Raw genomic sequence first — 17,216 nt, 5'->3', positions numbered from 1 at the left:
GTAGAGTGGTTTTCATTATAACCATGTGCTGGCAATTCTAAACAAAGTCGGTAACAGAATAATTCTTCCTCAAAAACTTTGTGTTTGTCTAAGTTCTAAACAATCATAATTGTAAATTTTAATAACATGTATGTAAGCTTCAAATTAGCACATTTTTATTATCCTTTAATGAGCATTGTTTTTTACATGGAAGTTAATTTGGAGAACTCTCAGTTATTCAGCTTGTTCCATTACACATATGGTCTTAACTATATATGTTTTGAGATGAAGCTTGTTAGAGATTAGAATGTTGAATTTTCTTCAGGCATTATTTGTGTCTCCAATCCCTATGGTACTACATATTCCTGTGTTTAATCAGTAGATTTGAAATAAACAGTGAGAAAATGTGATAATGGAGAATTGGAATCTGAGTTATTTCAATTCTATCATCTTATGTGACCACTTTGAGTTTTAAATCTATGTTTAAAATTTGAAACATTAAATACAAAGTTTTTGGTTGGCGAGTACAAATTTTAGTTCATATATAAAATATTTTATTGAGATAAAATAATATCTGTAAGATTTAATTATAAATGATCAGTTGTTTTAATACTAAAGAACAAATAAAAACATAAAATGTGCATCAGTGGTAAAAATTAGTAGTTATCTAAATTGCACTTTTTGCAGATGTTTCAGTTTCATTTAACTTTACTTATTAGTTACTGGCTGTATACGTTTATGATTTTCAATAAGAAAATTTGATCATATAGAGGAGGGAGTGTTAAAAATGGTTTTCTTCAGGTTTCGCTTTTGCTAGATTTGCTGCTGAAGCATTTCCATTACTAGAATAGGATGCACAGTTTGATCATTATGGGGGTATGCTCCCACGGAACATCCAGAATCAGGTTCCTAAAGCACTTCAAATTTTTGGTAGAGAGATGACCTGTAAGTGTAGAATACCTGTGTTTGAAAAACTAGCATGGACATTCATTGGCGGCATAATTATTTTAGTTAGCTGGGAGCATATTGCAATTATTTTATGTCTTCAGCATGCCCTCAAGGACTGACGGTGAAAACAGAGACAAGATTTAGAATAATACAGATCTGTGTTTGATTCTCAGCCCTATCTCTTACTATCTGTGAGGTCTGAGCAGCTCAGCCTCTTTAAGCTCCAGTTTCTCTATCTGCCAACACGTAAGCAAAATACCTATATCTCAGAGGGTCGTGGTGAGAATTCAATGTTATGTAAGTAGAAATACTCAATCCATAGAATCTGCCCAATGAATGTATTTTCTTTGTTCCTACCGCTTTTACAAACTCAGTTTGGTTATTACGTCATTCTTTTTCTTTTCTTCAACTTAAGTTCTAGGGTACATGTGCAGGATGTGCAGGTTTGTTACATAGGTAAACGTGTGCTGCTATGATGGTTGCTGCACAGATCAACCCATCACCCGGGTGTTAAGCCCAGCATCCATTCGCTGTTCTTCCTGATGCTCCCCCTCACCCCTGACAGGCCCAGTGTGCGTAGTCCCCTCCCTGTGTCCATGTGTTCTCATAGTTCAGCTCCCAGTTATAAGTGAGGACATGCAGTGTTTGGTTGTCTATTCTTGTGTTATTTTGCTGAGGAAAATGGCTTCCAGCTCCATCCATGTCCCTGCAAAGGGCATGATCTTGTTCCTTTTTAATGGCTGCATAGTATTTCATGGTGTATTCATATCACATTTTCTTTGTCTATCATTAATGGGCATTTGGGTTGATTCCCTGTCTTTGCTATTGCGAATAGTGCTGCAATGAGCATATGTATGCATGTATCTTTATAATAAGATGGTTTAGATTCCTCTGGGTATATACCCAGCAATGGGATTGCTGACTCAAATGATATTTCTGCTTCTAGGTCTTTGAGGAATGGCTACGCTGTCTTCCACAATGGTTGAACTAATTCACACTCCCACCAACAGTGTAAAAGCGTTCCTTTATCTCTGCAGTCTTGCCAGCATCTGTTGTTTCTGGACTTTTTAAAAATCACCGTACTGATTGGCCTGAGATGGTATCTCATGTGGTTTTGATTTGCATTTCTCTAATGATCAGTGATGTTGAGCTTTTTAAAATATGTTTATTGGCTGCATGAATGGCTTCTTTTGAAAAGTGTCTGTTCATGTCCTTTGCCTACTTTTTAATGGGGTTGTTTGTTTTTTCTTGTAAATTTGTTCAAGTTCCATGCAGACTCTGGATATTAGAACTTTGTCGGATGGATAGATTGCAAAATTTTTCTCTTATTCTGTAGGTTGTGGAAGAGTTGGTACTATTTCTACTGAAACTATTCCAAAAACTGAAAAAGAGGGACTCCTTCCTAACTCATTTTAAGAGGCCAGTATCATACTGATACCAAAACCTGGCAGAGATACAACAACAACAAAAAAACCTTCAGGCCAATATCCCTGACGAACATTGATGCAAAAATCCTCAATAACATACTAGCAAACCAAATTCAGCAACATGTCAAAAAGTTTATCTGCCACGATCAAGTTAGCTTCATCCCTGGGATGCAAGTTTGGTTCAACATACACAAATCAATAAATATAATTCATCACATAAACAGAACTAAGACAAAAACTGCATGATTATTTCAATAGATGCAGAAAAGGCCTTAGATAAAATTCAACATCCCTTCATGTTAAAAACTCTCAATAAACTAGGTATTGAAGGAACATACCTCAAAATAATAAGAGCCACATATGAAAAACTCACAGCCAATATCATACGGAATGGGCAAATCCTGGAAACATTCCCCTTGAAAACGGGCACAAGACAAGGATGCCCTCTCTTGTCACTCTTATTCAACATAGTATTGGAAGTTCTGGCCAGAGCAATCAGGCAACAGAAAGAAATAAAGCGTATTCAAATAGGGAGAGAGGAAGTCAAATTTTCTTTGTTTGCAGATGACACAATCCTATATCTAGAAAACCCCATTGTCTCAGCCAAAAGTTTCTTAAGCTGATAAGCAACTTCAGCTAAGTCTCAGGCTAGAAAATCCATGTGCAAAAATCACTAGTATTTCTATACACCAACAACAAGCAAGCAGAGAGCCAAATCATGAATGAACTCCCATTCACAATTGCTACAAAAAGAATAAAATACCTAGGAATACAGCTAACAAGGGAAGTGAAGGACCTCTTCAAGGAGAACTACAAACCACTCCCCAAGGAAATCAGAGAGGACACAAACAAATGGAAAAACATTCCACCTCACTCTTTGTATAAGGTTTCATTAGATGAACACTGTCCTTGTATTTTATGCTGTTTTTTTTAAGCGCTAAGGAGGTCCATTGAATATTTGCTAATTGGTTGTGATATATGACGTTGGTTTCCTAAGGTCTTTATTAAAGTTTCCAAATTATTTATTAACTGATTTAGTGAGGAAATAAATGAGAAGCATTAATTTTTACTTTATTGAAAATATCTCTATCTTCAATTATCAATGCATCTTTTATCCCCAAGACTGAAGGCCTGTGGAAGGCATGGAGAGTGTGGTGTGCAGGGGTAAATGGCGAAGGGGATTAAACAAAAGTTGATCCATTGTAACAATTTTATATCACTTTCTTCCCAGGGAAGATTTGTATTGGTGGCCCTGAAGCAGAAAGCTCTGTATCCCATTACTAGCAATGAGTCATTCAGTCTCCCACAGATCCAAATAAAGTTTTACAGAATACCCTATGGCATGCCTTTCAAAATATATGAACACCATAAAATATATCATTTATTTTACCATATGAACTGACTCTGTCCCTTATTCACCATTTGGGATAGCAATCTTACCATGTGCTTTTGGCTCTTAGGTTATCATCAGATATATTGGAGTTCTCTGAGCTTTTCCATTCTAAGTCCCCATGGTATTTTCAGGAGTTTTATAACTTGGTTGTAAAAATTCACTCTAAACTGAAACTTGGCAAACAATATATTAATCTGGGAAGTTAATTTCTTTTATAAAGTCCAGAATCTGTTTAGCCCCTCTTTTGAGTTCTCAGAGACCTTGGAAAAATAAAGTCAGCAATTAAAGTTTTTTTGTGTCTTAAAAAAATGCAATTACATTTCTCCAAAATCCTTTCAACCCTATTTTTACAGGTGAATAGCTTATATTTTGGATCAAGTTCTGATATATTTTGAAACAGTTTTTTTTTTTCTTTTGGCACAGTGAAATAGAGTAATTAAGAAAGGAACTAGGCTGATCTTACCCTGTTACATCACTGGAATAACAACGTATCTTTAGAGAGTGGAGCCTGTCTGAATTTACAAAAAGGACTAAGAATTTAATATCATTGGACGTTCACTAATCTACAAATATATCACTGAGAAGTATTTAAAACACATGATATGCCCTCAATCTTGGAAGAATTACTAAGATGCTAAAACTTCTGTTTGCAGTTGGTTTATTGGACTTTGGGAATGACTTTGCCGTCATGTAGTGCCAGCAAATGTAATATACATATGTATAAGAATGTAAAAGAATATGTAATGTACATATTCTTTTCAGGTACCAGAGAATTCTGTCTCCATCTCCTCCCACTTACCAGGGCACAGCTCCAGGGATGAGTTATACAAATAGTTTGATTGACCAGATGCAATCTGCACAAACAACCTTCTCACTTCAGAGACAGGCCCAGCAATAAAAAGTTCAACAACAAATGACAAAATGAAGTAACATTTAAAATGGAGCTTCATGGCTTTACAACACTTTCAGGTATATTTTCCAAAAGGAATGCAAAACAGAATTAAATCATGGTCTTTGGAGTTTCACAGAAGTGATGATCATTAGCTCTGTGGCCTTGGGGAAGCTACTTAATCTTCACAAGTTTCATTTTGCTTTTTCTTCAAAGTAGAGATAATAACAATACATACTTATTTAGGCCCTTATAAGGCTTAAAATCAGAAAATATTTGTAATGCAATTCACAGAATAACTAGAAAGCTATAATCAATATTACTTTTGGTTATTATTAATGATGCTCAATTTTCTGGTGAGTTTTATGAAGTAGATTTCATTATTATTACCATTTTACATATGATAAAAATTTAGGTTCAAAATGGGTTTTAACTTGCGTCAGATCACACAGTTAATAACTGTGTTTAGCTTGGTCTCAAACCTAGGTTTCCTGACAGTAATCCTAGTACTTTTTTTTTTTCCTGGTACTTTTTATCTTTTGGTAACCAGAATGTCAATTTGAGGAAGATTATTTCTTCCTCAAAAAGTGGGATAGAGAACATAAACATTTTTATATTGAAAAAGTTAAAAATTTTAATGCATAAGGATCAACATGTTTACTAGAAGGACTTTTGGGGTCCTTGAAGGTTTCTTTTTTAGATTAAAGTATATTAACTTTGTACTAAAATTATCTGTAATAGATTTGATGTATCTGTTATAGTCTGTTAATAGCAGCTGGGTTTTCCCAGTAGACTAGAAAGGCTTAGAATGAAACAACCATAACAGTTAAATAGCTTATTGATTTCTATATCCATGGACTACACTTGGTAGGTCCTATTCCTGCATACAGTGATCATTATGGCTGCCATGTATACACATACATATTTGAGTAGGGCAGTACTTGAGGAGGAAGGAGAGTCAGGGAAATCTTTTATATGAAGTGAATCTGTATTTATTTGAAACAAAGGATAACTTAGGCTGTATTCATTATATTAGTGCAGATGTGGTAAAGGTAGTGTTGCACCAAATTTCTTTCCAATAGTGAGCACTCATTCCCCCAGCTGCCCTTACTCATGGGTGAGTTCTTCTTCCTGAAATGGCTGTTAGCTGAAAGGACCTCCTTTGCCCAGGGTGTTTTCCTCTTCCTGGAAGTAGCCTATATCCAATGACTGGTTGATATGCGTCTCACAGGCCTTGCCCTTTACCCCAGTTTGGATAACTCAGAAGTGCCATTCCAACTTCAGAGCTCATGTATGATTGGCTGAGGTCCCTGTTATAATGTTATAAGAGCTTCGCAGTTCAATTTCTTCCTCTGCGGTAGCCCAGCCAGCCTTACTTAGTTTACTTCCTTACAAGTGTTGTTCCACAGAGTGCTCCCAATAAACCTCCAGCGTGAAGGTCTCCATCTATGAGGTTTTTTTTCCTGGTAATCCCAACCTAAAGTTGTAGATGGCTATCACAGAGCTAAGGGGGCTTATCAGATGCTACAAGGAGGAGAAGCAACTTTACTGTTATAGGAGAAGCAGGAGACAGAGTCAGATAAAAAGAAATGAGAAGGGGAATTGGAGTAAGCGCTGAGTGTCACAAAGAGAGGCAGAAAAAAAAAACAGCCTGGATAAGCAGGGGGAAGCTGAGCCTGTGTAAACAAAATACCTTAGTACTTTGCTATATGATGATCATAGCTGGGTGAGATATTATCAGTTAGGTCTTTATGTGATAACCAATATATTTCTGGTGTGGCAGCTTGGTGAACATAGAATCAGAGATCAGACAGCTATAGGCCCTAGAGATGGCTTCAAAAGAAGCTCTAGCAAGGATGCCCAGATAGCCAATATGATGCTTACATGAGGCATGATAATCAATAAAATTCTTTGTAGCTGCAAGGGTCAAACAATGCCCACACTGTATTGATGATCAAATATACAAGAAACAAGTATAAAGACTAGTCGTCATCCCACATAGGGCAGAGTTAGCAGAAGTTAGGAAGGGACCAGAAAGAGCAAAACAAGGTGCCCAGTCTTAGAATAAATAAGGTAATAAGGGACCAATAGAGGAGCTGACGTACCATAAACAGATCAGGGATCCAATGCAAGGACTGGAGTATAACCAGGTCTACTGTTTGGTGAATTCGGCAAGGGTAATGAGTTCCTAGGTAAGAGAGAACTGGTCTAGAGTGGTTTTAATTACAATTTATATGCTGATAACTCCTAAAGGTCCAGGCCCAATCAGTTTTTTAAAAAATCTCTGCACTAATTTCTCTACTAGACATCTTCATGTGACTACTCAACCAAAAATTCATATTAAACATGTGCAAAACTCATTTTCTTCTTCAAACTTCACCCTCTAGTTCCTGCTCTTGGTTGATTGCATTACTATTCCCTAGTTATTCTATTTGTCCCTGTCAATATTATACAGAAAGGATAATATTGTGAAAAGGGCCTGGATGAGTGACTTCTGAATTCTAGTGTAGAAGGAGTTAGAAGGTGTAAAAGATGTGGGTGTGCCTAGTTTGGCTCCAGTTCACGCCCAAGCTTTCCAGTTTTGGTTTCTGGTCCCACAGCCATGACCCACTATCACCACAGTCTCCACATCAGTATAGACTGCATGTCTGCCCCTCCTGCGAGCTGGATTGATCCTTAAACCCTTGGGAATGGTATGGGTGAAGGACTTGATCCAGCTAGTTATTCTGTATTTTCAACCCTCTGTTTTAACAAATTCCACTAATTTGTTTTACTTTGGCATATTTGATCACAAAAACTAACAGGAAAGTGCTGGAGGAAAAATGTGTTGGACTTCACTGTATCTCAAACTACTCAAAATCATTTGATGATCTCTTTGAACAGCACTATATTTAACTCAGTGGAATCAAAGATGATACAAATAGTGGATCACCTGGTAATTACTTTTATAGCTTTCATACTGGATGAGAATCACCATTCGTCAGTGTTCCCTAATTGATTAAGGTGCAGGGAAGTACTGACGGCAAGGAGGCTCCTTAGCCTGTCACTTTGCCAGAAAGAGTGTGAGCACAAGAAGAACTAGAGTTCCCAGTGGGCTAAATTCGAGAGGTGCCTCAAGGTTATCTTTTATGTATTCATCTATTTACTAAATGCATATCAGATTCTGTGTTGTTGGTGACACTAGTCTTCCTATTTGGCATCTTTTCTCCTATATCTTTTTTCTCTCAAGTACTCATTGCTCTCATGTTTCTTTTGCCCTTACTATAATCAAAACCTCCTCTCAGGCTTTTTCACCTATAATAACTTTATAAGCACCTACGATATTACCTTTTTCTGGCAACCTTGCAGTTAAACATAGATCCAAATCTTGAGTGAAAAGAATGAAGTATTTATCAACCATTGGGTCAGGGAGAATTTAGGACATCTGGGTCTTCCCAGTCTCCTTGAAATCACATTACCTAATTGATCTGTGCAGTAGGCTGGCCTTGGATCCTTGTTTGCAAGGAAATGGGAAAACCAGAAGTGAATTACTGTAGAATGAAAGATGATCATGGAGACTAGCAAAGAGATCTCACTGAGCAGATGGCTGTATAAGGTAGAGTAGCATGGCCTTCAGAGTTTGACAGAGCAGACTTTGAGATTCAGTTTTGAAATCAGTTGTGAATGTCAGCTATGACATTCAGCATGGTGTAAGCTTTAATTATTTATTTGCACAATGAAAATAATAGTACATACCTTTTAGAGTTGTGAAGACTCTGTGACTTACTCTATGCAAAGTACTGATAGGGCAGTGCTGGCATATATCATCATTGTTCAATAAGTGTTTAGGATGATAGTGAAAAAGACAAGAAGGAGGAAATGAAAGAGGAGGAGGAGGAGGAAGACTTGCATTGGACTGGACTTGAGGAGTTTATATTTATATTTATGTATGCTGAAGCAAGATTGGTTGCCACTGTGCACCTCCTTGTTTTGGCAGCTTAACACTGCTGAGTATGATTGCTCATCTCCATCCCAATCTTCTGTGTGGTTGCAGTGACCATGTCCTGGTTTCGAGGTTCTGCTTTTTCCCCCTTACTCTATCTATCCTGAAGCAAGGAACCTTTGTAGTTTAGGCATTCTTTTCATTTCCTATTATTTTATTTCTGCAATTTTTGTGAAGCCTCCACTAGAAAGACCTGAACTAAAGACTGGTTCCATAACTTCTTCTTGAATGTAATGTTTCTGCCATTCCTGCATTCAACAAGTATTTATTGAAAACCACTAAGTGCTGAAGATTCAGTGTTTAGCATTAACATGGAAGCCTTGTCTTAATGGAGCTTAAAATCAAAAAAAGGTTCACATGAAGAGATATTAAATGTAATTAGTCATTAGGAAAAGCAAATTACATGAGAAAGGTGTACTATTACTTATCTAAAGTTCTGAGGCAACAGGAGCTCTCATAAATTGCTGGAGAGAATGCAGATAGTATAGCCAGTTTGGAAAATAGCTTAGCAGTTTCTTCTAAAGTTAAACATACAACTGACATGCGATACATCAAGACCAATGTCAGGTATTTACCCAAGAAAAATGAACATTTAAATTTACACAAAACATATGAAAACAATTATAGTGGTTTTATTCAAAATCACCAAAACTGGAGACTATTCACATGTCTTTCAATTGGTGAATGGATAAACAAGCTATGGTTCCTCCATAGATTGGATGTTGCTGAGTGATATAAAGGAACACATTACTGATAGATGCAATGCCATGGATGGAGCTCTAGTGCATTGTGTTGTATGAGAAAAAGCCAGAATTCAAAAGCTAAATACTGTGTTAGTCCTTTTATGTGGCATACTGGATCAGAAAACAGAGCAGCAATTTCCTGGGACCTGGGAGTCAGAGAAGAGGTTGGCTACAAAGGGGCAATATGAACTAATTTTTGGGTATTGGAAGTCTAAGAATGGAAAAGAGTAAATCTTACTCTTCATCAATTTAAAAAATTGATTTCAAAAGAAAAAAAGCATATATAGAGAGAGAAAGAGGGGAAAGAAGATCAACAGTATGTTGCTGGATAATATGTTAACCAAATATTTTCAAGAAAAGATCTGAACTGAAAGATTCAATCCCTCATTTCTTGGAGATAAAATTTCAATGTGGCCCTGCTAATTTCAAGGAATATTATAAGGTAAACATACATTTTTGATTATTCTAACAGATCAAGTCACTATTTCGTAATGACAAGTCTAAATAAGTATTTCATTAAAACAGAAAAAGATAGGTTATGTAATGTTCACCAAACAAGACTTATAAATGTATCATTTTAGGTGGAGTATCAAAGTTGCAAGAAACTAAAGCCTATGTGAAGTGTGTGAACTTTCTACTCTTATTGATATATGTAGCAAATATGATTTACTAATAAAAACAAACTAAATTGGGTGACCAGTGGCCTGCGTTTGATTTGCTTTGGGAACAGCAACCTAAATCCAGCCCTGGCCAACAATGAATTCATCTATAATTAAAGTACCTTAACTTGACTGGTCAAAGATGATAATCTTTTTATTTTGGGGCCTGCAATGCTGGAAATAAATGAAAATTAGTAGTTACTCTAGAAAGGTATAATAATAAAAGTAAAGAAATAATTAAGAAATGAGTTAGACCTTTGATGTTGACATTTAAAATAATTAATTGAGTTTATAACTCATATTTGTATATGCTTTGTTATTTCAAATGTTTGCAATATTGAAAAGAATCAACCATGATAGCAGTTAAAATCAAGATAAATTATTTACTAAATTTGTAATAGTTGTTTAAATGCTTGAGAAAGATGTGATTCAAAATTGTGTTCACTAGATGAATGAGTTTATTAAACATTAAACAAATATGCCCAAGAAATCTATTGAAGGTGACAAATATGGGACAAATTAAGAAAGATCAGTGGATGGGTTGAAGCAATGACATAGGGGAGGGAAAGCTTGGACACTCAGGGCTAGGAAAGAAAAACTTATTTTCATGAGCAGAGGAGAAGAGCCCAGACTTAGGAGAAAGGATCACAGTTATTTGAAGATCAAAGTTCTCTGATATATCTGATGAAGACTGACCCTGTGATTTTGCCTGAGGCCCTGATAGTAGCAACTACTTTTGGATGATGTAACATAATCTCTGCCTTCTTTTCTCTTTTGTTACATTGTTTTTGTTTGTTACTTTTGTTTATTTTTACAATAGATTATGATGTGTCCTGGAAGTGTGAAACTGTAGTGTTGGGTAAGCACTATCTAAAGAATGCCCATGCAAGTCAGTGGAGGTGTATTCATGAATTGTCATTTGATTGCTTCATCTCAGGCTGTCCAATGAGAATTTTTTTATCTTATAGCAGACAAATGGACCCATTCTCCCATCGTGTAGGGGGAGCTCTTGGGTTATTCTAAGTTAGGATGGAAAGCACTGGTTGTTAGACTCTTAGAAGATGTTCTTGTCTTTATGGCATTCTCTATACCATGGGAGTCAGGCAATGTCTCAGGCTAAATCTTAATCCAAGAAAAGATTTCACAGAAAATAAGGAGATAAAAAATTAAAACAATACTCCAAAGCTCCTTCCATCAGTTTTACTTTTTTCTCCAAACAAAGTAAGCACCTATAGTAACATATCAGTAGGGGGGAAGGGAAGGGAAATAAAGAAAGGGAGGTGGCTGAGAAGTAGAGGAAAACTCATCAGAAGGATTTTTTTTTTTCATTCTCTACTGTTTTAGTCTGTGAGCTTCATTGTACCTGGGAAATAGCAGGAAATTGTCCGGCTAAACCAAGAGCTCTGAAAGCAGAACCAAAAGCCATGGAGAATGATTCCTGGGCAGATAATACTGAGTCCTAATGAAGGAACTTCTAATATGTTCTTGTCTGATTTCAGAATGTCTATGGATTAGTGACTTCTGTGTGTCTCTCATTTTCCCCCTTTTTGAATGGGAATGCCTACCATAGTTATCTTGTTCTTGTCTTCCTGTTATGGAATAGGCGTTTGGGGGGCAGAATCCCCCCATTTTTTAAGTTTAAAATCTATAGATAAGGGGAAAGATACTTGGGGGAACTAAATCTGTCAAGCCTCATTATTTCCTATGTCTGATTTAGATGAGAAAATTCCAGACTTTGGCCTGATATTATAATGGGATAAGATTTTGGGGGGTTTAGAGTTGGTGAGTATATTTTGCACAAGGGAAAAATGTTAATCCTTGAGGACCAGAGAGAGGGTATACTAGGGTAGCTGGCCTCCAGAAAAGTCCCCAATAATTTCTGCACCCTGGTACACATGCCCTTGTGTGGTCCCCTCCCACATTGTACCGGAGTTGGTCTGTATGACCAACAGAATATGATAGAAGTAATGGCATGTCACTTCCAAGATTAGGTTATAAAAGGTGATGCCTTTTGTCTTGGTCTCTGTCTCTTGGATCACTCTGAGAGATATCATCTGCCATTTATTGGGACCGTCAGGTGGCCTATGGAGAGGCCCACATGGTGAGGAACTGAAGCAGCTGGCCAACAGCCCGCAAGGAACTGATACCTGCCAATAACCCAGTGCATAAGCTCAGAAGTGGTCCTCCTTCAGTCTGGTCTTCAGAAGACTACATCCCTAACCTGCGCCTTGATTGCGTTCTCAGAAGAAGCCCTGATCCAGAACAGAACCACCTTGGATTCTCTACCTACAGAAATGGTGCAACGAAACTTCAGAAAGTGTTGCCAAAACATTACTCCAAAGAAACACTTAAAAACTTTGTTGTCCTGTAATGTCATGCCAGTGCATGTAACTTTCTCAGAAGAACCCGCTAGCCCCCACAGCATTTTACTCATATCATAGTTAGAATGAAAATAATTGGGACCACAGCTCACACTTCCTTTCAGAGGGGATTCTGATATCACCATGCATCCTGATTCTCTTAGTTCCTGCTAGGTGTCTGTTCTCCCTGGCCCCTCATTGTCAGCAGAATCGCACTCCTATCCCATTCTGCCCCAGCCACCTGGCTTGTCCCTCTTTCCTGAACCCTTCTACTCTGCCCTCTGGGACCCCTGCTCTTTGCTCAACTCTTCTCATCCTCTACCTATTCTTGAAACCATCCTTTCTTTGTTCTTTGTTCTGACGCCTGGATTTCTCTGGAGGCCACTACTCTGTAGCCTCCTCAGGGCTAGTCTAATTTTATTCCTTATTACTCACATATCTCTGGGATATGTGAGTTGTGTACTCTCCATTGTCATTGCTTTCTCTCTCTCACATACACAAACACACACACACACACACACACACACAAAGTACACTTTACTCCATTGAGATACGTGGCATTTAGTCATGCTATCATCTTCCTCAGCCCAGTACTTTCATCTATTGACCCCTTGTTCATTTCATTTATCAAAGACCTTATTCCTTGACTCCAAAGAATTTTCTCTTTCCCAGATCCTGTGATTATTCTGGATGACTTGAACATCCATCTAGAGAAACTGCCTCATACCCTCTATTCTCTGTCTGATCTGATCACATGTGATCTCACCTCAGCTACCCAGGACCACAACTGAAAAAATATACCACTTTTGAAAGGTTGACTTTAAAAAATCTCTACTCTCTGATAAAACCTTTCATTCTCCATATCCCTTATACAACTTCCCTCAATTCCAGGATTCTTCAACAGCATTGAGACTTGTAATCTATTGTCCCCTACCATTTTCTTTCTCCTTTCAGTCTGCCCAGTTTCCATAGAGCATTGCTATGGTTGCTCATTGAAAATATCCTACATACACTTGCCATCCTCTTTCTCTGTCATTCTCCTGGCAAAATCCAACATGAGATGAACTCTTCTATCAACTGCCTCAATGCCAACATATGAGAAGGTTAATTTGGCCAGAAAATTCTCACAACTGAACTGAATACTTTAGTTGACATTTATAACTTTTTTTTCAACAAATAACAATGATTCATTTGGCACCTCCTTTATTTATGTGTCAGGAAATATTTTAGACACTGGAGAATCAAAAGAAGCACCAAGCATACAATCCCTCTCACTTATGGAGTTTGCATTTTAGAGTATCACTATTCTCTTTTCTTTACATCCAATTTACTCATTGACTCACTGAAGTAGGGTTTATTGTTTCATCATAATTGCTCTAGTCAGTGATTGACATGTTACTAAATCCATTGGACAATTCTTTGTCTTCATGTTTGTCATCATGGGGATAGCATTTTTTCAACTTCCTTTTTTGTTTCCTCTCTTTTGGCTTCTGTCACCATTTTTCTGCCCTTCGGATCACCCCAAAGCCTGCTTCTTTCCAGCCTCCTTTGTAATTGCCCCTCATCTCTTGTTGTTCTCTCTATCTATGCACTCTCTCAGTGATGACTTCATTCCTTTCCCTGCATGTTAAGGCCATCATTATACTGATGACTTCTAAATGTATGTTTTTAGCTGAGAGTTCTTTCCTGATCTCCAGACCTCCATACTCTACTTGACATTTTCAGCTGGGTAGTTCACAGACATCTCAAACTTGACATGTCTAAAACAGAACCCTTTTCTCTCCTAAAATCTGTGCTGTCTCTCTCTCTCTCTCCCACTCATCTCTACCTTAGAAAATTATACTACAGTTTACTTATTCAAGCCAGAAATCTAAAAATCTGTAAGTAATTTGTAATTCCATAATTATGCTTTTGTCTGATTCCAAGTCTCTTACTCCCCTCCTTTCTCTTTACAATCCAGCCACCCTAGGTTTTTCCAGTTCCTCAAACTCAAACAGTCTTTACCAGGGACTTGACATATATATACTTTTTCCTAAACTTAGAATGTTCTTTCTCCTACTCACAAAACGGCTATTGAATGACCATGAAAAAGATAAATTTTAGATTTAAAATTCTCCACAGGATCTATATAATTCCCTTTTGCCTCAAGTAGTATATGTATTTGCATTTTTTGATTCTGATGCCATATGTAGGTAGTTTTGATGTGACTGCTGTCTCCTTGTAAAACCTGGCCATGGTTACATATGGATTGAGGACACTTGTTTGGGACTATATTAGACAAACATTGAGTTAGATCTTCTCTATTAAATGGAGACAAGGTAAGCTTTTAGCAGTGTTTATAGAATCTCCCCACTTAGTGCAGGCATAAACTGGAGATCAAAAATGATGGGATTCAGTTTTTAATGCTATGGAATTCAAATTAAACACAGCTGATAAATAAAAGGGGGGAATCTCCAGACCAGATAAAAAAATATATGTTTTATATATATATTTTTTTTTAGATGAAGTTTCACTCTTGTTCCCCAGGCTGGAGTGCAGTGGTGTGATCTCAGCTCACTGCAACCTCCGTCTCCCAGGTTCAAACGATTCTCCTGCCTCATACTCCTGAGTAGCTGTGACTACAGGCATGCGCCACCATGCCCGGCTAATTTAGAATTCTTAGTAGAGAAGGGATTTCTCCATGTTCATCAGGCTGGTCTAGAACTGCTGTCCTCAGGTGATCCACCCACCTCGGCGTTCCAAAGTGTTGGGATTACAGGCATTAGCCACTGTGCCTGGCCCAGTTAAAATCCTTAAAATTACCTTTCTGAGAGTCCTGTGTCCCATGTTGTATTCTTTCTTCAGGGAACACCATTGGTTCTTGACAATGCTGATCTGTAATAATGCTCAACGAAACAATAAATTTCTTCAAGTGTGTCACTAAAAGCTGCCTGAAAGGCTTTATACTCATTCAGCCCATCATTCTTCATAAACTTCCGCATTGCAATTCCATTTGTTTCTTTGTTATTTTGTACAGTTTCCCTTTAGTGGATGTCTGCTGACTCCTTCACATCTGGATCCAATTAGAGATCACTCTTTATGTGATTCTAATTATCTGCCTCTACATGTGCTCAGCAGAGACACAATTATTAATAAGAATTTGAATGTGGCTTTCCATTTTCAAATTGCTTTTTCCTTTCACTAGGCATCCTCAATAACTTGAATTCCAGCCCTAATCCTGACTCTGGCTTTTAGAGAGACATTGAGAAAATTGGGGCACCAGAAAGTTAAGTGAATTTGTTCTTATATGTGGGGCAAATCAGGGGCTGTTAAACATGGCTGACTTCTGTGTGGTATAATTTCCAGGATACGAGGCAAGACCTTTGTTGAAAGTGTTCTTTGCCATGATAGTTAATGAGTTCTTGCTGCCCTGCGGCTATCTCACCACCATTATCAATGGGGATAGTAGACTTAAGTTTATACATTGCTGTTGCTGTGGGATTTTGCTAAGTTTTGACTGCCATGTCTCTATTCCCCCTCCTTTTGTTAACAAAATGCTGATTTTCTTTTGGAGAATCATTTCTTTTTCCATTCTCAATCTTTCTGCCTTAGAGGGAGCTCCATACCCACATTGAGAGGCCAGCATGTGTGATCGAAGTCTGGACACTTAACACTTCCTGTCAACTTTGCCGCAGGGCTTGGTTTAGGAATGGGAGCATATCCTGAACTGTTATAGTAAAACAAACAAACAAACAAACAAAAACACAAAAACTCTTCAGACTGGGAGAATTGTTTCCAGGAAACGGTGACTCATTTTTTCACTAGTATTGAATATGGAGAGACATATGCTAAGGTATCAGAGCCCCTTGTTTTTCTCATGAAAAGATGAGTGATGTCAGAGAATGCAGCCACGTGAAAGAAAGCAAAACTGTGAGAAGGAAAGACAGAAACCAGGCCCTAGTGCCATCGCAGGAACTTCTAGATTCCACTGTCATTTTTATTTTTAAGTTATGTGAGTCAAAACTTTCCCTTTGTATTTAAAAAAGTGGAGTTTGGGTTACTGTTGGTTGCAACTAAAGGACTGTTGACACGTTGACTGTTTACATTCTAATTTTCATTGCTTTATTTTCTAAAACTAAGATTCGATACTGGGGAATTGAAGTGGAAGCATAAAAGCAATGGTTGTCTGAGAAAACATGGAAATAAGTCCAGTGAGGAGAAAAGGGGAAAGAATGAAAATTCTAGAGGTTTAGATTTATAATTCAAAGGGGAGATTCTATAAATTTTGATTTTGTGTTGGAGCCCATTAAATTTAGTCTCTCTACTCATAACTTTTGACAAGTGCAACTATTTGGAAATGCAGCAGAAGGTACAATAGAATAAACAATTAAGACCGTTGTATAGTTTATGTTATGAGCTGAATTATGCACCCCTCCTCCACCACCATTGAAGCCCTAATCCTCAGTACCTCAGAATGTGACTATGTTTGGTGATAGGGCTTTTAAATAGGTAATAAAGTTAAAATGAAGCCATTGGGGTGGGCTCTAATCCAATGATTGGTGTCCTTATAAAAAGAAGATATTAATATCTCACCTGAATTCTTCTAACACAAGCCACTAGATGCCAAAAGAGAAGTCTCCCTAAAATAGGCTTTTATCACATCACTTGTCGGCTGAAAATCATCAATGGCCTTCCCTGCCCAATTTTTTTGCCTTCAAGAAAAAGTCTGTCTCTCCCTCTATAGATGAGAGGGACACTATAGATGTATGTTCAGAAAGGAAAGGCCATGTGAGGACTCAGCAAGGAGATGGCCATATGCAAGCTAAGAGAGAGACCTCAGAAGATACCAAATCTTTG

General features: G+C 37.5%; 1 protein-coding gene across 2 annotated transcripts in view; it reads right to left on the bottom strand.

Annotated features, from left to right (window-relative positions):
- LOC107985043 (uncharacterized) overlaps window positions 1–15,295 on the bottom strand; it is a 57,359-nt gene extending 42,064 nt beyond the window's left edge. For both annotated transcript variants that reach the window (XM_047437626.1, XM_047437627.1), the window contains exon 1: window positions 15,183–15,295. In XM_047437626.1, coding sequence (XP_047293582.1) covers window positions 15,183–15,234 — 52 coding nt within the window. In that variant the 5' untranslated portion in view covers window positions 15,235–15,295. The remainder of the gene's footprint in view (window positions 1–15,182) is intronic.
- Between the last annotated feature and the right edge of the window lie 1,921 nt (window positions 15,296–17,216).

Source organism: Homo sapiens, chromosome 1 (assembly GCF_000001405.40).
Source record: "Homo sapiens chromosome 1, GRCh38.p14 Primary Assembly".
NCBI classification, from domain to species: Eukaryota; Metazoa; Chordata; class Mammalia; order Primates; family Hominidae; genus Homo; species Homo sapiens.
This window is presented reverse-complemented; position numbering and strand designations above follow the sequence as displayed.